This window comes from Homo sapiens, chromosome 9 (genome assembly GCF_000001405.40).
Source record: "Homo sapiens chromosome 9, GRCh38.p14 Primary Assembly".
Taxonomy (NCBI): Eukaryota; Metazoa; Chordata; class Mammalia; order Primates; family Hominidae; genus Homo; species Homo sapiens.
This window is the reverse complement of record NC_000009.12, coordinates 28948685-28971911: the sequence shown is the minus strand read 5'-3', so window position 1 is coordinate 28971911 and position 23227 is coordinate 28948685. Positions and strand designations below refer to the sequence as shown.

Sequence of the window (23227 nt, the reverse complement as noted above, 5' to 3'; positions counted from 1 at the left end):
CAAGCACCCTTGTGGCTACCACCACTATGACTGTACTAGGTTAGATCTGAAGCTACCACAGCACTGGGGCTCACCCAAGGCCTGCTGTAACCATTCTCTGGCTATTGCCTATGTTCACTCAAGGTCCTGGAGCTCTACAACTGGCAGGTGGCAAAGGTGGCCAGGCCTATGTCCTTACATTCAGGGCACCAAGTTCCGCTAGGCCCCTGGTTAGTCCAGAGGTGCCATCTGAGTGTCAAGGACTAGAGTCAAAAACTTTAGAAGTCTACCTGGTGTTCTATTGTAAATTGCAGCTGAGCTGGCAGCATTCAAACCACAAGATGCAGTCTCCCACTCTTTCTCCTGCCTTTCAAAAGGCAGAGGAGCCACACCCTATGGCCACCACCACAATAGGCCCACAGAGAGTAATGCCAAATTGCCACCAATGTGGCCTTAAGGCCCAAGGGCTCTCAAGTAAGCTTGTGCTTAATGCTACCTGGCTTGGGACTCACCCTTTAGGGCAGTGGGCTCCCTTCTGGCAATGGGCAGGTCCAGAAATGCCATCTAAGAGTCAAGTCCTAGAATCTAGGACCCCAACATCCTGGCTTGCTTAGTGGTCTATGCCACTGAGGCCAAGATAATACCTGAAGCCAGCAAGTCTCAGAGGCTCACCTAAGGCCCTTGACATATTACCTGGGTATTACTTTTGATTATTCAAGGCCCAAGGGTCTTCACTTAGCAGATGATGAATGCTGTCAGGACTGGGTTTTTTCCCTTTAAGGCAGTGAGTTCTCTTCTTGCCCAGGGTGCGTCTGGAAATATCGTCCAGGAACTTGGGCCTGGAACAGGGTTCTCATAACTCTGACCAGTTCTGTATCCTGCTGTGGCTGAGCTGGTATCCAAGAAGCAAGGCAGTCCTCCTGCACTCTTCCCTTTCCTCTCCTCAAGGGGAAAGAATGGGTCTCTTTTGGAGCTGCAAGCTGCACAACCTGGGCTTTAGGGACGAGTGATGCCAGTACTTCCTTAACTGCTCTGGCTGTTGCCTCAATAGGTGGTGTGCCCTCCTCGTCCACTGTCTCTGGGCCCAGTTCATCACTAGGACTCCTGTAAAAGTTGCAGTCCTTGTCGCCTAGACTGCCTTTCAAGTTTACTCAGAGATCCATAGCACTTTAGCCTATTGTGTCAAGGATCGCAGGAACTCAAGTTCTGACTTCTGGGATTGGCAATTCCCTTTTGGCTAGGGCTGGTCTAAATGTTCCGGTCTGTGGGTGGATGTCAGCTGAGTCTGGTCTAGTTTTCTTTTCTGCTCTAACAACACGGCCCAGAGTTCAATGCCTCATAACTGCTGTGCTCTCCCTCCCTCAGCACACTGAAACACTCTCCACACCCTGCCACTGCTGGGGGGTGGGGGAGGGGTTGCATTAGCGATTCGAGATTTTTTCTACCTCTTCATTGCCTCTTTCATGGATAGGATATTAAAACTAGGTAGTGTGAGTGCTCACCTGATTTTTTGTTCTGATGAAGGTGCTTTTCTTGTGTAAATACTTGTTAATTTGGTGTCCTTTTCAGGGGGACCATTGGTGGAATCTTGTATTCTACCATCTTGCTCCCTACTCCAAGGTGAGGTTTTGAAATGCAAATGAAATGTCTTCCTTTTCCTAAAAGCAGTTTCTTCACTTGGTTTCCAGTAGTCTAGGCCCTTCAGTAGCATGTCTCATCAGCCACTTCTTTTCAATCTCTTTTGCTCACTCTTCTTTTCTCTGGCCTTCCTAACACTGATGTGCCCTAAGCTTAGTGCTAGGACCTCATCTCTTCTCTTCACTATTATTCCCTTCTCTTCCCTTTCTTCCCCTTCCTATCCTTCTTTTCCCACGTACACTGTCTTCCTTTGTGAACACATCTCATTGTCAGAAATCCGAAGTATATGCTGATGAATCATAAACACATATTTCTAGATCAAACTCTCTTCTGTGCTCCGGATTTCTAGATGTAACTGCCTACTTAAATGTCTAATAGACATCCTAAACTCATTACAAAGAAACATGATATTTTAATTTTCTAAAGGAAAACAAAAACAAAAACAAAACTTTTGCTTTAGCTACTGTCTGCTTCATTTCATTTAATGGTAACTCCACTCTTGGGTGCTCCATGGCAAAATCCTAAGAATCATTCTTGAATCTCCTCTCTTCCTTCATACCCACGTCAATTCATTAGCAAATCCTTCTAGTTCTTCTTGGAAACCATAATCAAAAGCCTGTTACTTTTCACTATCTGTACTACCATTACCCTGGTCCAAGTTATCAGGAACAGGGTAATGAATTATTAGAGCCACTTCCTGACTGGTTTTTCTGCTTTCACCTCTACCTGTTTTTAGTCTTTTCTCAAACAGAAGCCAAAGTCGTCTTTTAAATTTCAAACCAGCTCAAAAACATCTAATGATTTCTTATTTCTCTTCAGCTCAAAAGCCAAAGTAATACTATGTCCCGTTACCTTTTAGACTTTGCTTTCTATTTATGTTAATTTTCCTAGCCCTGCTTCAGTCTCAGTTACCAGCACAGGGCCCACTACCTGCCCCTGGTCTTTATACTTGCTGTTACTCTTGCTTGGATTTTTTTTCCTCAGATATTAGTCTTTCCTTTGAAGACTTTACTCAAGTGTTACCTTTTCAATAAGGGATGTGCTGACCACTCTGTAAAATTGTGTCACATAAGACATCCAATATGCCTTAATCTGCTCTTTTTATTTTTTTAACACAGTGCTGATCTTCTTCTAATGTATAAATAATTTACTACTATGCTATGCTTATTATTATTTATCTATAACCCCAGTAAAATGTGATCTCTACCAGGGCAAGTATTTTTTTCTTTAATGATTTTGTCTTACTTTCAAAAAAAATTTACATATAACTATTGATTGAATGAAGGCATCACTATGTTATATACTTGTGCTCCCACATTCTCTTTTATTTCTGACTTCTGATAAGAATCACTATGTTCCTTTGGGAGCATGTGTCTACTAGAAACTATTATTACCCATAGGCATATATCTTAATTGCACTCTGTCGTGGTTTGATAACAATAAAGATCTGATTGCCATGTCACATTTTTTCAAGGTATCATCAGCTGTGTTAAAATTGCACTTTATACATCAAAATTAATACAAGTTCCAAGAAACATGAAGATAATTCTTTGTTTTAAAAATGAAACTAGTTATGGAATCTGGGATATGAAGTTTAATACCTAAAAAAGGACTTCTGAGATCTAATTCATTCTCTGCATTTATATTGGAACACAGAGGTTAAAAGAACACCAATTCATCCAAAAGACATCTATTACATGCTATTAACATATGCCAGGCTCTGTCATAGGCTTTTGAAGTACAAAAGTGAAGTGTAACATTATTTTTACCTTTAAGAAGGTAGGGTAGCTTCTAATATTGTAAGTAAGATAGACAAGTAAACATTAATTTCATTACAATGAGATTTTTACTTTAACAAGAAACACCTGAAGAAACCTTGCTTGCAATTTAGCCCTGGGAAAGTCACTTGGGATCTACTGTGATTCTTCATCTCCTAGTTCATTGTAACAGGATAAAAGGGATCCAGGCTTTGTAACAAAGTAAAAGGAGATATAGCCCAGCCACTCCAGTTTTTGAAAGGGAAATGTCCTAATAATCAATTTCTAGAGCAAAAACTCGGCATGTCTATTTTCTGTAAGTCTAAAAGATCTGTTTAATTATTTATCAATTTTGTACCGATGTCTGTGATCTGTGGCTCATCTGTTAAATGTTGCAAATTTTGTTCTAGTTTTATAACATTCTTAGTGATTTCATTAGTCCATTATAAAGTTCAGATAAAAGTATGACTGAAAAGTCTACTTCAGGGTGTCAAATAATATAAACTTAAAAGTTCAATCCAATGTTCAATTTGGTGTGCAAGACTTCATTAATATATGTATGTTATTTGAATAAAACAAAGTAGTACTTACTTAATATTAGGGTTTTGATAAAACTTCCTTAAAGCTTCTTATGAAAACTTATTTGAAAATGATCAAGAAGTTGCATAAATCTTCTCTGTCTTCTCTCTTTCTCTTTCTCGCTCTCTGCTAGAGGTGAAAGAGAAGAAATAGATTGTATGCTATACATCTTACAGTTTTAGTGATATTAAAAACACCTGTTCCCTTCCTGTCTATCAGAAATACATCCTAACCTTGTCTGACAAGACTATGTTGATGAATTATAACATTTTTCCCTTAGATATCTAGAGTCAACTCAGACTAATGGTCAATCTTGTTGCCAGGGGGAATAAAAGGTGATAAAACATAACTGAATGATGTAGGTGGCAAAAAGTCAGAAATTCAACAGTAATAACATGATCATCCCATGCAACTAGCTTCTCTCTCTAAAAGAAAAGGTGACTGAAATGTGGAGGAATGCCCCAGGTCATATTTGGTTTTATTCTTCTCACATTTACTACCAGAAATGATTCAAGGTTTATTTCCTTCTGCTTCAGTTTTCTCATTTTCTTCAGTCCCCTAGGAACTGGTTCTTGGCCTAGTGGTAGGATAGTTTGTATTCTCCAACACTGACTTTTCCTTACAATATTGCTTCAGTTAAATTCTTTAGGCTCTACTTCATGCCATTTTCCTAAGTCTTTCAAAAAATAATTATTTGGGAACTGTGTTAGGTATAAGAACTCAGCAAAGCCCTCAAATTTGAGTGTGAATTGGGCACTGCCTTGGGCCTCAAGGCAGATAACAAACAAGGCAAGTAGGACTCAGCTCTAGGGGTGCTCATGAAACAGAAGATTTTCAGTGTAAGGCAGTTGGCATTAGAGATACAGTCTAGTCCCACAGCTTGCAGACTGTATGGTCATGCGTGAAATACCGTCAGTGCCTCATTTCTTCTTTTCCAAAATGGGTGAAATCTTGAAGAGTAATTATGATCATAAGCAGCTTTCACATAACTCAGCTCTCAATATATGTTTCTCTATTCTTTAAGTAAAGGGAGGACTCAATTTTATGCATCAGTAAGTGGGTATTAGTTAAAAGTGTACCCCCTACCTCTCGGTAAAGGCAAAAACAATATACTCTACTTATTTTTCTTTTCAAATAATGCTGCTTTTAACTGTTGTTTAAAGAACTCTTCCTGACATTGAAAGCAGTTCATCCTGGGGACTCTACATTACTTTTATGGAATACATTAAACTCTTTCATGGGAGGCGATGTGGTCTACTGAAAAACAAATAAACAAAATATGCTCCATGTCAGGATAGTTAGATGTTTTACCTTAACTCTACCATACGCTAAGTGACATAAGTTACCAAGTCAATTGGTATCTCTATATACTTGTGTGTTCATGCATAAGATAGGAGTAATAGTACTACATATTTCACATAATGAGTGTGAGAATTAATATATGACTAACGCATGATGGCTATTCGTTTGTAAGCTGCTTTATCACCAACCTTGCTTTATCTGGAAAAAAAATATCCACTGCCTACCTGACAAAGTTGACGTACAGTTTATAATAGATAAATATATGGAATTCTTTGGAAAACAAGCCACATCTAAGGAATAAAAATATAAGAATAGTGCTACTAATTATTACTGTGTGATTCTCTAACCGTTTGTTCATAGTTCTTCAAAGGTAAAGAGGCCTCGATTCTTACCCTGCTTCTCAACCTCTCTTACTCTTTTGTTCTAATCTCTGCTTTTCAGACATTAGCCAGTTTTTTCAGCCTCTTAATTTCTCAGGATGAGGACATTCAGCACAGTTTGAGAGGAGGTGGCCTTTCAATCTCAACTTTTATGTCAACAAGCCTAAGGGGCCAATCACCTTCCTCTGGGCAGCTTTTGGAAAGATGCTGAAAGGAAATTTTTCTCTATCCATAGATTATCTAAATCAATAGGTCTGTGGATTGAGCTTCTACAGGCACACAAGTGGGATAAAACTAGTCATTTAAATTGGCTTTTGGGGCTTTTTAGCTTTGCTTCGCAAAAATATCCTGTCTAGACAAATTCGTACTTAAATTTTCCCTATGCAGCCCTTGTGAAGACATATTTAGGCCTGAGAATTACTCTGCCACATGGATATATTTATATTTACTTATAGTTTCTCTATTTCTTTTATATAGTTACTTTGTGTTTGATCAGTGGAGATCAATCATTACTACCATTTTGTCTGGAAATGTCATAAAGATTAAAGATAGTTTAAGGTATTAAAAATCATAAAAGGGAGCTCAAGTGATTTTTAAGAAGTAGTATTTGAGTTGTTCCCACTAACTGATTGAATTAACTGTATGTTATGCTGGAAAACCTATTGTATTGACCCTCTCTGGGTAAGCTTTTTTAAATGAGCATTTATAAATCTCCTTTTCTCAGGAAGCAGAATATAGTGGTAAAAATTAAGCATTAATTACAGAACTTACAATGCGAAGGAAACATGATTCTGAATATTAATCCTCATTGTCCAGTGATTTAAATACGTAGGAAACGGGAATGAATGTTTTCTTGTGCCCAGTTATACCCTGGACTTTGCTTTTGTTTTGAAAGTTTCATGAAATAAAATCCTAGTATTTGTTTCCTTTAAAAGGAAGGGGTCAAGAGAGATTAGTAATATCAATTGATATTAGTGTTCTGGTTACTTGGGTTTAAATAAAAATACTCAGATAATGCTTTTATGTAAATAGTTCACTATTCACTTTCTACTTATCTGGGGCAAATAAATTTTAAGTTACCTCTTGAATTTCTATCCTAAGAATTGTTGTAATTAAATAAATCCCGAACTCTACCTGTTCGTTATCAGGATGGAATGCATGTCATTTCTACTCTTTACCATTTGATGCATAAAATGCCAACTTAGCTCCAAAAGACAGATTATTTGGATTATTAAAATTAATATAAGATTAATATAAGATTATTCTCTTATCTTCTATTTTTAAAATTGTATATTTTTTATATAAACTGGTAGCTCATGAGTTGAGATACTAGTGTTGGTGAGAAGTAAAAGTTCTGAAACTGCACAGGAAATATTTTCTTCTTCCTAGTTGCTTCCTTCCCTATCTTAGACCATCCCATGCGCATAGTTCATAGGCATGTATACTAAATTTACCTAAAACTAAACTTTTTATCTTGTTCTCTAAACTACTAAGCCTAGGGATTATACCAAAACTTAATCTTAATTATTTCTCTACTCTGTTTCCTCATGTTCACCCTCATTGACAATAGCTTGATTCAGGCCTCTAATATCTCTATCATAGTATATTGCAAAATTACCCTAACTGGTTGCCTTTCTGGTTACCTTGTCTCTACAATGATCTGTTTAAAACTAGAATCTGACTATGTCACTCCTTGTTTGTAACTCGTCGGTGGTTTCTCATTCCTACAGAATAACACCCCAGCTCTTAAACAGAGCATACTAGTCCTAAATAGTCTGCCCAAACTAGCTGAGAAAAGCAGAACTGCTTTGAGGTTTCCATGTATATCATGATGCTTCTTGCCTCAATATTTTAGCTAATATTCTGGAAAGGTCTCCCTATACTTTTTTTCTTAATCAGCTACTGCTTTAATTTTAAGGTTGAGCTCACACATCCCTATAGGAAGCTTTTTTGGTGTATTTCCTCTATCATCCACAGGTACTGGGGACTGAGTTAGGTGCCCTTCTCTGTTCTGTAATACTGACACAGTGATTTTTCATATAATTTCATATAATCTAGTTCATATAACTTCTGAACTGGATATTCTGTATCACAAATTGTCCTTGACTGTGATAAATATAAGCTCCTTATACAGAATATGTATATGTATGTGTGTATATATATATATGCGTGTGTGTGTACATATATGTATGTAGAGGGGATGTGTGTACACATATATATGCACACATATCATTTGCATCTTCACTTGACAAAGTATCTGACACAATTAGATGGGTAATGATCAAATCTGGATATTTGGGATATTCATCACCTTGAACATTTATCATTTCTTTGTCTTGGTAATATTTGAAACCTTTTATGCTAGCTATTTTGACATATACAATATATTATTGTTACTGTAATCACCTTACTGTGCTATCAAACACTAGAACTTATTCCTTCTAACTATATGTTTGTACCCATTAACCAATCTCTATTCATCCCCTCTTCCTACACACACTCTTCCCAGCCACTGATAACTATCATTTTACTTAACTCCATAAGATCAAATTTCTTAGCTCACATATGTGAGTAAGAATATATGGTATTTGTCTTTCTGCACCTGGCTTATTTCACTTACCATAATGACCTGCATTTGCATCCATGTTGCTGCAAATGACAGGATTTCATTCTTTTTTATGACTTAATGGTATTCCACTGTGTGTGTGTGTGTGTGTGTGTGTGTGTGTGTGTATTCATATACCACATTTGCTTTATTCATCCATTGATATATACTTAGGTTGATTCCATATCTTGGATATTGTGAATAATGCCACAGTAAACATGAGGGTTCAGGTATCCTTTTCATAGATCAGTAATTTCCTTACCTTTCGATACATACCCAGTAGTGGAACTGCTTGATCACATGATAGGAAACTTATCTTTTCTTATCTTCAATGTACTAGTCTTGAGCTGTGCTAATTAGATAGCCATTAGCTATATATGGCTACTTAAGTTAATTAAAATTAAATTAAAAACTCAATGCTAAATACTTATAGTGATATATAAAATAGTACCAACACTGCAGAAAGTTCTGTTAGTCAATACTCTTCTCAAGTATTAGTACAAAATGTCTTATTGTGATGTGGAATCTCCATGTAATGCAAATTTCTCTTAAAGATATTGAAAAATGGAAATTTCAGTTTCACTTTCCCCTTTTCTATGTAATTGTCAGCGCTAAACACTTAAATGCAGAACATTGTATCTTACTTAGAGACAATATAGGCAAAATATTATTAACATGGACAATGAAATATAGAAAGTAAACCTTCAAGGATAAGTAGCATTTGGAGTATTGAGAAGGTAAAGGATGAGAAGAAAATATTTCAAATGAGTAAAGTTCCAGGATTAGGCCAGAGCATGGCCTAATGAATGTGTGGGTAAATCTCTTTAAGGGAAGTAATTAAAGTATGTTTAAGATTAAAGTAAGATAAGATGTAAAATTAAAAGGAGGATACAAAATAATATAATAAATGTATAGATATATGAGAATATGTTGTATGATAAATATATAATAGATGTATATATGATAAATGAAATGTAGTAAATTATTTAGAGCAAAATCTAGTTATTGGTATATGGGTACTTACTATAAAATCCTTTAACTTTTACAGTTAATACAGCTTGATACTTTTACAGTAAAATATTTTAAAATTTATGTGTATACAATAATTTAGCTATGTACCAGTACATTATAAAGAAAGAGAAAAGGAGTGGCCTGAATGACTATTTGTGGTGTGAAGAAAGTTAGGCATATTTATTATCCTTGGTTTTCATACTTCAAGAACATTTAAAAAGTAAATGCAAAAATGTTTTAACTAAGTTTGATATAAAAATAATGAATTTCTAATCTAAAGGTATGAGTGGAAAGATGTTGACATTTACTATCTGTATGAATTTGGATAAATTATTTAGTTTTAAATTCTCTAAATCTCAGTTCCCTTTTTAGTAAACTGTGATTAACAGTGGTACCAACTTCCTAAGGTTATCATGAGGATTGACTGATTTAATACAGGTAAAGTACACAGAATAAGGCCTACCACCTGGTAAACATTGGCTAATCTTTTTAGGAAATAGACTTTAAAAAAATATTTTACCAGTAGCTCCCACCCTACCTTCAGTATTGTGTTTATTTAGTAGGTTATACACTCTTTAATGTCTGAAACCAAATGACCTGTTTTTTTGTTTGTTTGTTTGTTTTAATGAACTGTATTTTTTCCCTAAAGCTTATTAAATAAGAGCTTGGAAAAGAGACTCCAAAGTGGCAACAAAGGTTATGATACAGGCATAGCAGCTCTCTTGGATGAAGTCAGAAGTAGTATTAACGTTAAGTTTTCCACAGAGGACTCTTTGAGTCTGCTGGTTTATAGAACAAAACAGACTTCTGTAGTTGTTACTGTTAGCCAATTAGCACTCCCTGGGGAGAGAACTTGATCAGGAATGAGAACACTATATAGAAAAGCAAAGCACAGAGAAAAGAGGTGTCTCTTGAGGTTCAGTGGATGATTTTTGTTCTGTCACTGATTTTTTCACCTTGAACGATGGTTACAGTCTGTATAAATTCAGCACAGAACTCTCCGTGCAGTTGTTTATAGCTCCAACTTTCAGACTTTTCATTACAGGAGGTTCATTTTCTCTTTCTGGGTTACATTTAGCACTGAGATGATAAATAGCTCTTCTGGAGCTGGAGGAGGTTTTGAGATTATAAATTGTAGTTTAAGTGCATATCCTATCTTCTCCTGAGCCCAAAAGGAAAGGATATGGATGAGTCCTACTCCATTTACTCCTTTTTAATAAACATGCAAAATACAATTATGGGCTATGTATTATGGATTACGTTACAAGTTATTCCCTGGCTATGAAATCCTAAGCCATATATACCCCAAGTATATAAATCGCCAGACTATGCTAGGGGCCTGAATTTGCCTAAGTCCTTATTTGGCTGCTTGAAACTAGAAATTCAGGGCCTGTCTGCCAGGATGGGAAAAAAAGGAAGGGGAAGGCAAACCTATGTGCATTCTTGCTACAGATCAGACTCTTGCCGGCGATAGTATGACAGTAAGATTGTATTGCCATCTAGAGAATTGTGCCTATTCCAATTATTCCAAACCTTACAGTATATAGCTGGATTTCTACTATTACCAATGTCTGAATGCTTCTTAGCCAAATAAATCTACATGAGCATATCAGAAATATACATGAGCATAACCATTTTCTGATTTCATGGCATTTGGTCATTTTAAAGACAGCTATGGTGCTTCCTCCATTCCTGTAGACCTTGTGATTAGTAGTGATTCATATGTAGTGAATATTAAATAATTCAATATTTTGTTAAAATTTAAATAAAGGTGTCTTGAGTGAATGAATAAATGAACAAATGAATTAATAAATTTACTTGATTTTTTTCAACATTTTCTAGAATATGGACTGTTCTGATGACTCAGCAACCATTATTTTATATAAACATATTTTTGGCATACTGATCATAGAAGTGGTTTTTGTAACCTATTTATAAGTTACATCTGCCTATTTATTTTTAGAAATAATTTTCCCACATATAAATGAAATATGTGCCCACACAAAAAAATTAAATAATATCAGAATACTTTAAAGTGACAATTATACATATTTCTTATCACTCACAAATGAGCACAGATAATAACATTTTAGGACACTTCCGTAACTTTTTTCTATAACACACAACACACAGAGACATTTTCTGTTTGTTCGTTTTAGAGAAAAGGTCGTACCCTGTCATCTAGGCTGGCTCCATCATATGACTCCATCATAGCTCACTGTAACCTCATACTCCTAGGTTCCAGTGATTCTCCTGCCTCAGCCTCCTCAGTAGCTGGAACTGCAGGTGCCCACTGCCATGCTTGGCTAATTCTTTTGTGTTTTGTAGAGACAGAATCTTGCTGTGTTGCTCAGGCTGGTCTTGAACACCAGGCTTCAAGCAATCTTCGTGCCTTGGCCTTTCAAAATGCTGTGATTATAGGTGTTCTAATTATTTGCTATCTTTTCTTAGAGAGGGAAGGGTGTTTTCTTGAGAGCTATCTTTTTTAATTAAAACTATAATTAAAATGCTTTTAGTCAAAATCCTACACATATCAAGAATAGATTCATGAAAGTAGAATTTCTATGTACTTTTTTGCTCCAAGAACATTTGTTACTTTTGAGTCTGAATAGTGTGAACAACCTAACTCACTTATGCTGAAAATCTTAACACCAGCATTAAAGATTTAAAATGTAATTGTTACAAACACAAAATTTAGCATTAAAACTACCCTATGAGGACCATTTATTTTATTATCTTTGAGATGTACACTATATTTACCCACATGGTTATTGCTACCACATAATTGCAGCTTTTAGAGTTGGTATATATTAAAAGTCTGAGCTCTAACATCCAAAATGTCTTTTATGTTTCACTATGTCTAGATGACATTTATACTTTCTTCCAGGCCTTGAAAATTGCCTGGAAGCAGTAGCCATTTGTAAACAGTCACAATAATTCTGTTTGTCACTATTCAGTATTAGATAGAACTGGGCTGGTAGATTAAGTGCTGAATCCTTGGGTTCATTGTTCTCTGTGTGTGTGTGTGTGTGTGTGTGTGTGTGTGTGAGGGAGAGAGAGAGAGAGAGAGAGATAAAAGAAAAGAGAAAGGAACTGAAGGAGAATATGAGTGATAAATAAATTTAATTCCTTGTTTCTTGAATCATTTTTGCTCCTTGGTGATCCTATACATGTATCTAGTTTTTCTCATCCTTATTTTGTCCACATCTTCCTTTAATTTACTCCTCTCCTTCTATTCTCATGTACCTTTATTATTTGGGTTATTATAATGTATCTAGACCTCACCTCTGATCTATCTCTTTTACCTCAGCAATTTATTTCCCAATTATTATATCTACTTTATTGTTCTTATGAGACAATAGACTATGATAATTTTCCAGAAATAATTTTGTTTTCTTCCTCCCATCTTCTAATGTTGAGACCGTTTCTCTGTTTTCTTTCATCTCTACCCTCAGTCTCATAGGTTTATTTCTCATTTCCAATCCAGCGATTTCAAAACCTGTACAACAAACCAACTCAGCAGACCTTGGCAACTTGAGGAGATTTCACAAACATGAGCAGTACATGCAGGGTGACAGGCACTTACACATGCACTGGGGATTAGGTGGTGAAATACACCAAGCTACACCACAGATTTCTCCAATGATTGTGTTCCACCAAGTTCTACCACAAAGTTATCTGAGTGATCCTGTTGAACATTGTCCCATGTACCAGTCCCTGCTCTTTCCCTTTGCATGTTGTTAGTTTTGATGTCATCATCCTGTTAGTGGTTATTAAGAGCTGAGTCTCTGAGGTCTTGGCATCATCTTTGACTGAGGCTCCTTCCTTGGATATCATTGCCATGGCCAACCTCTCTTTCTCTCAGTCTCTCACTCCTCCTCATCAACTCAACACTCTTCTCTCCCTCTCCCCCCTCCCTTCCCTTCTTCTCCCCTTCTCTCCTTTTTTCTCCTCTTCTCTCCTTTCTTATCATTTGCAGTGTACCTCACAGCAGTTTAACCTGCCTAAAAAGTAAAGCGTAGGTGCATAATATGATAAGGGGGCTCATTGTACGGTAAAGGAGGGGAGATGCCGATTCCTGGAGGGCTGATAACCTGTCAGATACAACTTGGTAGGTTTTAAAACATTCCCCTTACACTGGAGAGGCTGTCGGCATTCTAAAAAAGTGTCAGCACCCCTTTTTTCAGTACCTCAGGGAATCTTTTTAGACTACCTCTGCTGCCATTTCAAACTTGTTTTGCCATTACTGTATTATCTTTTGCTTCTATTGTCTGAATTCATGTGTTGTCTTTTTGCCTAGATACTCTTATTAAATATTTTGTTAATAATTTGATTCATCATTACAGGGTCACCATGAGACATTGTCTCTGGCTTTTCTTCAGCTTCACATTCTACCTGCTGAGGTCAATATCATTACAATCCTTAAATACAGCTGCAGCTCCCAGAATCCAGTCCAAGGTTAGACTCATCCAGTTAACAATGCAGAATATTCAGATAGTCTATGACATGAGTCTTAATGGATGGTCATCTGTTGGCTACTACGATTGCACTGAATAAAGAAACAATTAGCAATGAAGGAGCATCATTAATAATTTAGACTTTGGAATCAGACAAACCTAGATCTGATCACAAGATTTGCCATTAAAAGCAGTGTGACTTTGAAAAAGTTTATGTAACTACTTTGAGTTTCAATATAAAATGGACATGTTAACAGCACCAACCTCATAGACTTATTATAAGCATTCAGATGCTATAAGTAAAGAAATTAGTGCATTGCCAAGAATATAAAAAGTGCTTAATAAATTATTCTTATTGTCTCTATTTTACTGGTAAGTGGAAATTCTAGGGCAAAGTGATCTATGAATGCGTTTTCCCACTAAATGTTAAAATCTTCAGGTAGATTTTACTTTGCCAAACCTCTTTTATGATGGTCTAGGTATTGCCACATAAAGTGATATAAACAATCAAAACAACAAAAACATGAACAGATATTTCACATCCTGAAAATGGAAGCCACTCAACTTGTATATATTCAAAATTTATATTCCACAGATTGGAGACATTGAGACATCCATAAGTATGGACTTTATTACTGCCACCTGGAACTGTGAAGCCTCACCTTTAAGAGATAGACAATAATCAAACAAAAATCATAAAGTTTAAGAGAATCTAGAGAATGCTGAACTAAAAGAAAGAACATACCCATAAAATAAAGCATTAATGCTTACTTCAGGCAGATAATTTTCATTCTCTTTCTCCTTCAAGGTAAAGACTCCTAATTCTGCCAAATTTCATGTGCATCCCTTTGTACTTTTTGAAATTTGGCATTGCATTGCATGGGGAATTGTATGTAATTCCTGCAATCCTACATTAATTTCCTGATCTTTTCAAAAGGAAATTTCCTCTTGTGCTCATTGACCTAAAAATTAAGTGGTGGTAAGATAATCATACGTCCCAGGGTGTGCTTCACATGCACAGTGTCTTAGTGCGATGCTGATGATATCCAAAGAGACTAAGTAATAGGCTATTCTCCATGGCCCTCAACTGCCAGGCTTCTGAATATGTTGAGTCCAGACACTTGGGTTACAGAGGCAAATGGAGCTAATTTAGGGGACAATTTCCTGTGCTCCCACTTAGTCCTGCTTAGAATCATAGAATCCTGGATTCATAAGGGTTTTTAGCAAGTACGAAGTTTGGCATTTCATAAATTGTTTCCCAGGGTAATGTTATCATCCCAAGAGATGGCAATATGGAAAAAGAGAAAGAAATTCTGTGTTTAAATCAGTTTAAATATTTTCTTTCATTGTGGTAGTCTTAGAATCTTTATTATGTTAAGTAGACTGTGAGGGAATGACAAGGAAAGAAGAGGAATAAAGGCAAGAAAAGGAGAAGGGAAGGGGAGGGGAGGGAAGGGGAGGGGAGAGAAGGGGAGAGGAGGCAGGGGAGGGAGGAGGGAAGGGAGGGAGGAAGGAAGGAAGAAAGGAAGGGAGGGAGGAGGGAGGGAGGGAAAGAAGGGAAGAAGGAAAGGGGGAGGGAGGGAGGGTGGGAGGGAAAGAAGGGAGGAAGGAAAGGGGGAGGGAGGGATGGAGGAAGGAAGGAAGGAAATATTTGTCAAACTTGATTATGTTAGCATCTTCTAGTGCACAAGCATTATACGGAATAGTCTGGGAAATACCAGTGTGATTCCCGCACTTCACTTTACAGATAAAGAAACAGTGCCACTTCAAGACAAAAACCTGTCACTTTAATAAAAATCAGAGTACAGTTTTAAGTTTTTAAATATTAACCTGAATTGGCAAGAGCACAGGGAGAGCTCATCTTCCTGTTTGGCATCACAGCAGCTGGTGCTGGTAGCTCTTTCATTCTCCCTGCTCATGTTTTTTTCCCCTCTCCAACTAAGATTACATACAGCTTTTCCTGTCCTTAGAGACACTTGATACCAAGTTGCCTTTGTCTTCATAATGGTGAATAGCAGCCCAGAATTCCCATTTTCATGCCGTGGACTGATATGAAACCTAATCTTATTGACCACTCCCCACTCTTCCTTTTATACAATGTGAACACTAATAGGAACACACTGTAATGACACAGAGTCACCTAATTTTTTTTTAACCTGTTTCCATTTACTTACAGTGAATATAGCATTCTGTCTTTCTGTGTGTTTTCCAATAATAGTGTTAATATTTAGGAATTACTTGTTTGTAATCTTGTTTTTAAATGTGAGGTGGGGCTGGGCATGGTCGTTCATGCCTGTAATCCCAGTGCCAAGGTGGGAGGATTGCTTGTGGCCAGGAGTTTGAGACCAGCCTAGGAAACATAGCAAGACCTTATCTCTACATACATACATACATCCAAAGTGGTTCCTTACTGTGTCTCCATTTAAGAATCTGAACATATCTAATGTTTGATAGAGAGGACCAGTGGCAATTCCCTATTATGGTTAAAGGGAAAATTATATGTTTAGTTCTCCTGAAGATTCAGTTTCTTTAGGCCTTACCAGTGAGATTTGATAAGTGACAAAGTAAAGCACTTACACTACATCTCTCACCCAGCCTGGTAATTATGTCAACCTGGAAGATGCCCAGTGCCAGGTCTCGTTCTCATGCACCAAGACACCTCTTTTATGCTGCAGATTCCTAGGTCTATCTTCTTCCACTGCAGGACATCCCTTACTACCTCCATCAGCAGTCAGTGTGGCTTTCAGGTCATGGCAGAAGGAAAAGGCAGCAATCTTCCTAATCCACATGCAAGCAGACACTCCCATGCATCCATAGTCAATCAGCCTCACAGAAGAGAGAGAAAATCTGTGACTACTTGAAAACTATGTCAAAGCAAAGATTTTTGCCTTTCCTTTCATTGACAATCTAATATGATAGCATACTTATTCTCTGTCTCCTTCTGACTCTGTTTCTCTTTGCCTGTCTATCTCTGTTAGCTTTTGTGTCCTCAAAACATTATCTCTCTCTCTCACACACTCTCTCTCTCTATTTCGACTCTATGATTGTTTCTCTTTTTGTCTCCCTCCTTTCACACTTTCCTCCTTCTCTCCCTATATTTATTGATTTCCTAATCTCCGTTTCTTTTTGTCTATAACTTCATGGGTCTTCTGTGTCCTCTCACTTTCTTTCTCTATCTCTGTCCCTCTTTTGCCAATTCCCTCAGTTGATTCAGGGTTTTTGACATTGGTTCGGTATGAGTCATTACAGTCCCAGGTATGGGGTAAGCAATTATGAGCAGGGCAGTTTCCCTTGGTCCAGCCTTAGTTATTTTAATCTTAATCTAAATCCTTTCTAACTCACGAGAGTGATGTTACTGAAGGTGGAAAGTGGTATCTCCACCCTGGCCTAAAAGAGGATTGTTTATACTCAAGTTCCTAGAAACACTCTAACACTTCAGTTTTTGTTTTTAAGTCACTATTTGATAGTCATTCTCAAAATTCTTGTCCGTGTACCATGGGAGTTCCCAAGATCCTTTTGAGCCGTGTGCTAGGTGAAAACTATTTTTAAGTTAAGACTAAGGTATTATTTGTGTCTTCATTGTGTTAACAGTTTCCATGATGGTGCAAAGGCAATGGTAGGTAAAATTTCCAGAATCTTAGCACAATTCAATCTGGCAACACCAGACTGTTACTAGCAGTCACTGTATTTTCCACCATCATTTCTTTAAAGTAAACAAGCAAAAAAAAACAAAATGGCAGGTCACTTAACAGTGTCCTTTATGAAGTAGTATGCATTATTTTTTATAACTTGTTCTTTGAATAAACACCATCTTAATATCCTTTGTGATGAAATGTGAAGTATGCATAAAGCACATTTGCTGCAAACTGAAGTATGATGTTTTCTAGAACAAAAAGTACTTTTGTAATTGAGTTGCACACTGAACTAGCTACTTTTTCATTTAACATCATTTTAACATAAAAGTGTAACTAATAGTCAAACTAAAGCTATTGAGGCTTAAGGTATTTGGCATATATTTCTCAAAAATAAACAAAGTGATCTTGTAACTTCAAGGAAAGCAACTATTTTGTATTTGTATTTGTTGCCAGTGATCAAGTTTGAGCTTTGAAGTAAAAGTTAAAATTTTGAAAATTCTTTGTGCTACCATAGGTGTGACACTTCCCAATACTTTAAAATTATTCGGATAAGATTAGCGGTAATTTTAACAAGAGTAATTTTTAGTATTTTGTATGTGTTAATAATTTGATTATGCCTAATTTAGTGAACCAATATTTTCTGGATCACCAGTGCATGATGATCAAGCAGTCATAGATAAAGGATCCATTCACAATAAGAGATAGCCAGTGGATTTTAATATAATAATATGAAAAGTTATTTGATTTGGTTTTAGATTTTATATTGTAACTGATCTTTTAGAAACTACTACTCATAAAATGTTGCTATGCTATCAAAGAAGTATTCTACAATAACTTTAAAAGCAGTAAAAATCTCTTTCTTTTCTCCAAAAATACATGTCTATATCAGACTAGATATTCTTCATAGGTTTCCACTAAAATAATATATCACACAGGTTGAATGCAGATTGAATAAGGCTATTTTCTATTAAGTCAAATTTTAAGGAAATTTACAAAAATATAGAACAGTCTCACTCCCCTAATTTTTTTGTTTTGGAAAATATAATTATCTTTCATAAAAATGTGTCATTTATGTTACTGTTTTATGGGTTTATTTTTATTTTTAAATTAGTGTTTTCATAATAATTAACTGATAATCAATGACGATTGTTAAAAGTTTTTCTCAGCTTTCATTTCTAATATGATAAATGAAAATTTATATACATTAATTAATGCTCTTCATTTTAAAGAGTATATAGACCCTGATTCCTAAACGTTTGAGCACTGATATAAGACAACTTTCTATCTCCTCATACCCATTTACCTTAATTCAAGTTCCCAGAAAAATACCTGAGTAGTAATGATACTCAAAGAATGGCAGAGAATCTCAGTAGTAATGATAAATGTTCAATTCAATCATGCCTCTCTTTTACTTTGAACCAATAGTCTCAGACCAAACATATGTACCCCAATATTTAACTCTTGTAGAGTGAGTACATTCCTCATTAGTATTCATTATGGCCAGTCATTGTTTATCCCATGTTGATGCTGGGAATGTAATTTCTATACCCAGTAAACATTTGGAGAGTTATTCTATGCCAATGCCAGACATTGTGCATACATTTCACTTACATCTTTTATTTTAATCCTTAAAAGAATACTATGAAGGTAGTGATTTGAATCAGTTATGGGTAACTTATCACTGCATAACAAACCACTTCAAAACTTAATGACTTAAAACAAGTATTATTTTATTTGCTTTTAATTCTATGGGCATGCGTTTTGATCTGAGGCTCAGCTTGGTGGCACTTCTACTTATCTCTGCTGGGACATTCATGCAGCTACAATCATCTAGCAGTTCCACTGAGTCTGGATGGTCTAACGTGGCTACTTCTCTGTCTGACAGTTGGTGCTACCTGTCAGGGGGCCATAGGTCTCGAAAAGGCCAGTGTGGTTTTCTCCTGTGGTGGTGGAAGAGTTCTAAGAGGGCAAGAGGAGAAGATGCAAGTCCTCGCAGTTTCTAGGCTCAGAAGTCACATTCCTCTACATTTTAGTGGGCAAACAAGTCACTAGGCAAGCCTAGATTTAAGAGATGGAGAAAGAAATTTTAGCTCTGGAAGATGAGAATGGAAAAATTTCATTGCAAAGAGAGTATGTATAGAGATGGCAGGAATTATTGCAGCCATTTTGAAAGCTGTATATCACAGTGTCATTAGATCCATTTATAGATGAAAAAACTAAGAAACAGAGCTAGAAAGTAGTGAGGTCGAAATTTGAGGACTTGTCTTTGTGTTGCCAAAACACATACCCTTAACCATTAAAATATTTAGATAGATAGATATTGAACCCATGATTTTAACTCTTAAGAGTAAGGTTAGATGAGGCTTTGGTTCTCCTGCCATCTTTGTTTTTTTCCTGTACCAAGTGACCACTGACTGTCTATCTCTGCTGCCACCTACTGTTGTGGGTCTCCATGCCCCGTAAGTGTGTGGATGGATGGGCTCTCCATCCACGCACTTATCTGACAAATGTGTTTGAGAACTAATGTCAGAGACCCTTTTTAATAATCGCCATTCTGACTAGTGTGAGATGGTATCTCATTGTGGTTTTGATTTGCATTTCTCTAATGATCAGTGATGTTGAGCATTTTTTCATGTGTTTGGCCATGTAAATATCTTCTTTTGAGAAGTGTCTATTCATATCCTTTGTCCCATACTTGTTGTTTTAACAAGGAAATTTTAATATAATGGGTGGATTAAATATTTGTTGGAGAGCTGGAAGAGGAAAAAGAGGCCCCTGAAGTTATACAGAGAGAGTAATCTCAGGAAGCACCTCCACCCTTAGGGCTTGGGGAACGAAATGAAAAGCTGGGGCACTGGGAGCTTGGAAAAGGGACTTCGTAGATCTCTATATCACACTTCTCAGAAGTGTTGCTATGCAGCCAGTGTTGGTGTCTCAGAAGCTCAAAGCAGAGGCCTTGGGAACTCAAACTCAAGAGCTCTCAGGATGGGATACGAGCCACCTGGGGGTGGCACCTCTGTCAGGTCAGAATAAGCTGGTTCTGGAAGGATTTGAAAAATCGGTAGGCAGAAATGACTGCCGCTGACAGGGTGCAGGATGATTGCTAAACAATGCTGACAGCAAGAGAACAGGAAAGAATAAGCCTCTTTCTCCCTTTCTTCACCCCACCGGCCTGTCCCCAGTGCCCCCCCACCCCCATTGCAGAATCTAAGGAAACCATCTGGCAAAGGAAAGTGGTGTGCAGAGTCCCAAACCCAAAATCTCAAAGCAGAATATAGAAACATAGGTTTGGTTTTAGGTCTTATGTTTAAGTCTTTAATCCATCTAGAGTTAATTTTTGCAGAAGGTGTAAGGAAGGGGTCCAGTTTCAGTTTTCTGCATGTGGCTAGCCAGTTTTCCTAACACCATTTATTAAACAGGGAATCCTTCTCCATTGCTTGTTTTTGTCAGGTTTGTCAAAGATCAGGTGGTTGTAGATGTGTGGCATTATTTCTGAGGTCTCTGTTATGTTTCATTGGTCTATATATCTGTTTTGGTACCAGTACCATGCTGTTTTGGTTACTGTAGCCTTGTAGTATAGTTTGAAGTCAGGTAGCATGATGCCTCCAGCTTTGTTCTTTTTGCTTAGGATTGTCTTGGCTATATGAGCACTTTTTTGGTTCCATATGAAATTTAAAGTCATTTTGTCTGTGAAGAAAGTCAGTCGTAGCTTGATGGGGATAGTGTGAATCTATAAATTACTTCGGGCAGTATGGCCATTTTCACCACCATATTGATTCTTCCTATCCATTAGCATGGAAGGTTTTTCTATTTGTTTGTGTCCTCTCTTATTTCCTTGAGCAGTGGTTTAGGGTTCTTCTTGAAGAGGTCCTTCACATCCCTTGTAACTTGTATTCCTAGGCATTTTATTTTCTTTGTAGCAATTTTGAATGGGAGTTCACTCATGATTTGCCTCTCCGTTTGTCTATTATTGTTGTATAGGAATGCTTGTGATTTTTGCACATTGATTTTGTATCCTGAGACTTTGCTGAAATTGCTTATCAGCTTAAGGAGATTTTGGGCTGAGACAATGGGGTTTTCTAAATATGCAATCATGTCATTTGCAAGCAGAGACAATTTGACTTTCTCTCTTCCTATTTGAATACCCTTCATTTCTTTCTCTTGCCTGATTGCCCTGGCCAGAACTTCCGATATTATGTTGAATAGGAGTGGTGAGAGAGGACATCCTTGTCTTGTGCTGCTTTTCAAAGGGAATGCTTCCAATTTTTACCCATTCCATATGATATTGGCTGTGGGTTTGTCATAAATAGCTCTCATTATTTTGAGATACGTTCCATCAATACCTGGTTTATTGAGCGTTCTTAGCATGAAGCGGTGTTGACTTTTATTGAAAGCTTGTTCTGCATCTACTGAAATAATCATGTGCTTTTTGTCATTGGTTCTGTTTATGTGGTGGATTACGTTTATTGATTTATGTATATTGAACCAGCCTTGCATCCCAGGGATGAAGCCAACTTGTTTGTGGTGGATAAACTTTTTAATGTGCTGCTGGATTCAGTTTTAATGTGCTGCTGATGGATTACGCTTATTGACTTGTGTATATTGAACCAGCCTTGCATCCCAGGGATGAAGCCAACTTGTTTGTGGTGGATAAACTTTTTAATGTGCTGCAGGATCCAGTATTTTATTGAGGATTTTTGCATCAATATTGATGAACAATATCCCTGTTCATCAGGGATATTGGCCTGAATTTTCTTTTTTCTTGTTGTGTCTCTGCCAGGTTTTGGTATCAGGATGATGCTAGCCTCATAAAATGAGTTAGGGAGGAGTCCCTCTTTTTCTATTGTTTGGAATAGTTTCAGAAGGAATGGTACCAGCTCCGCTTTGTACCTCTGGTAGAATTCGGCTGTGAATCCATCTGGTCCTGGGCTTTTTTTGGTTGATAGGCTATTAATTACCGTCTCAATTTCAGAACTTGTTAATGGTCTCTTCAGGGATTCGACTTCTTCCTGGTTTAGTCTTGGGAGGGTGTATGTGTTCAGGAATTTATCCATTTCTTCTAGATTTTCTACTTTATTTGTGTAGATGTGTTTACAGTATTCTCTGATGGTAGTTTGTATTTCTGTGGGATCAGTGGTGATATCCCCTTTATCATTTTTTATTGTGTCTATTTGATTCTGCTCTCTTTTCTTCTTTATTTGTCTGGCTACATATGTTCTATCTATTTTGTTAATCTTTTCAAAAACCCAGCTCCTGGATTTATTGATTTTTGAGGGGTTTTTCGTGTCTCTATCTCCTTCAGTTCTGGTCTGATCTTAGTTATTTCTTGTCTTCTGCTAGCTTTTGAATTAGTTTGCTCTTGGTTCTTTAGTTCTTTTAATTGTGATGTTAGGGTGTCGGTTTTAGATCTTTCCCACTTTCTCCTGTCGGCATTTAATGCTATAAATTTCCCTCTAAACACTGCTTTAGGTTTGCAGCTACGAGACAACAACTTAAAAACACGAATTTCTTACTTGGCTTCTGTTGAAGGGGAAATAGAAGGAACTTTCATTGTTCAAAGTCTGTACCTGAAGTGAACCGATAAGAGGAATTGAGATGTCAATATTATTTAATGGGCCCAGCGGACTCTTTTGCATATCTAACTTTTAGGAAGAGAGATCCACTTGTGCCATCTAGTACCGTTGTAATTACTGTATTCGTAAAAATAGAAATCCAGGAACGCACTAAGAGAGTGCAGCAACAGAATTTGTTTTAAAGTGACTAATTTAAAATTGATCACTATGACATATCTCCTTGAGCTTGAGATGTTTTACACAATCAGGTTTCAGTGTTTTCAATACTGTGATTTGCATAACCAAGATTTATTTCATTATTTTGTAGAAGA

General features: G+C 36.8%; 1 protein-coding gene across 11 annotated transcripts in view, besides 1 other annotated feature; it reads left to right on the top strand.

Annotated features, from left to right (window-relative positions):
• The window catches only part of LINGO2 (leucine rich repeat and Ig domain containing 2), a 1275985-nt gene that overhangs the window by 241690 nt on the left and 1011068 nt on the right, over positions 1-23227 (top strand). The window lies entirely within an intron of this gene.
• Positions 844-1767: an enhancer, noted in NCBI's record as "OCT4-NANOG-H3K27ac-H3K4me1 hESC enhancer chr9:28970143-28971066 (GRCh37/hg19 assembly coordinates)". NCBI's record gives its function as "activates a minimal SCP1, AML or CMV promoter by ChIP-STARR-seq in naive H9 embryonic stem cells {active_cell/tissue: H9 hESC(naive)}" and the evidence as "EXISTENCE:reporter gene assay evidence [ECO:0000049][PMID:30033119]".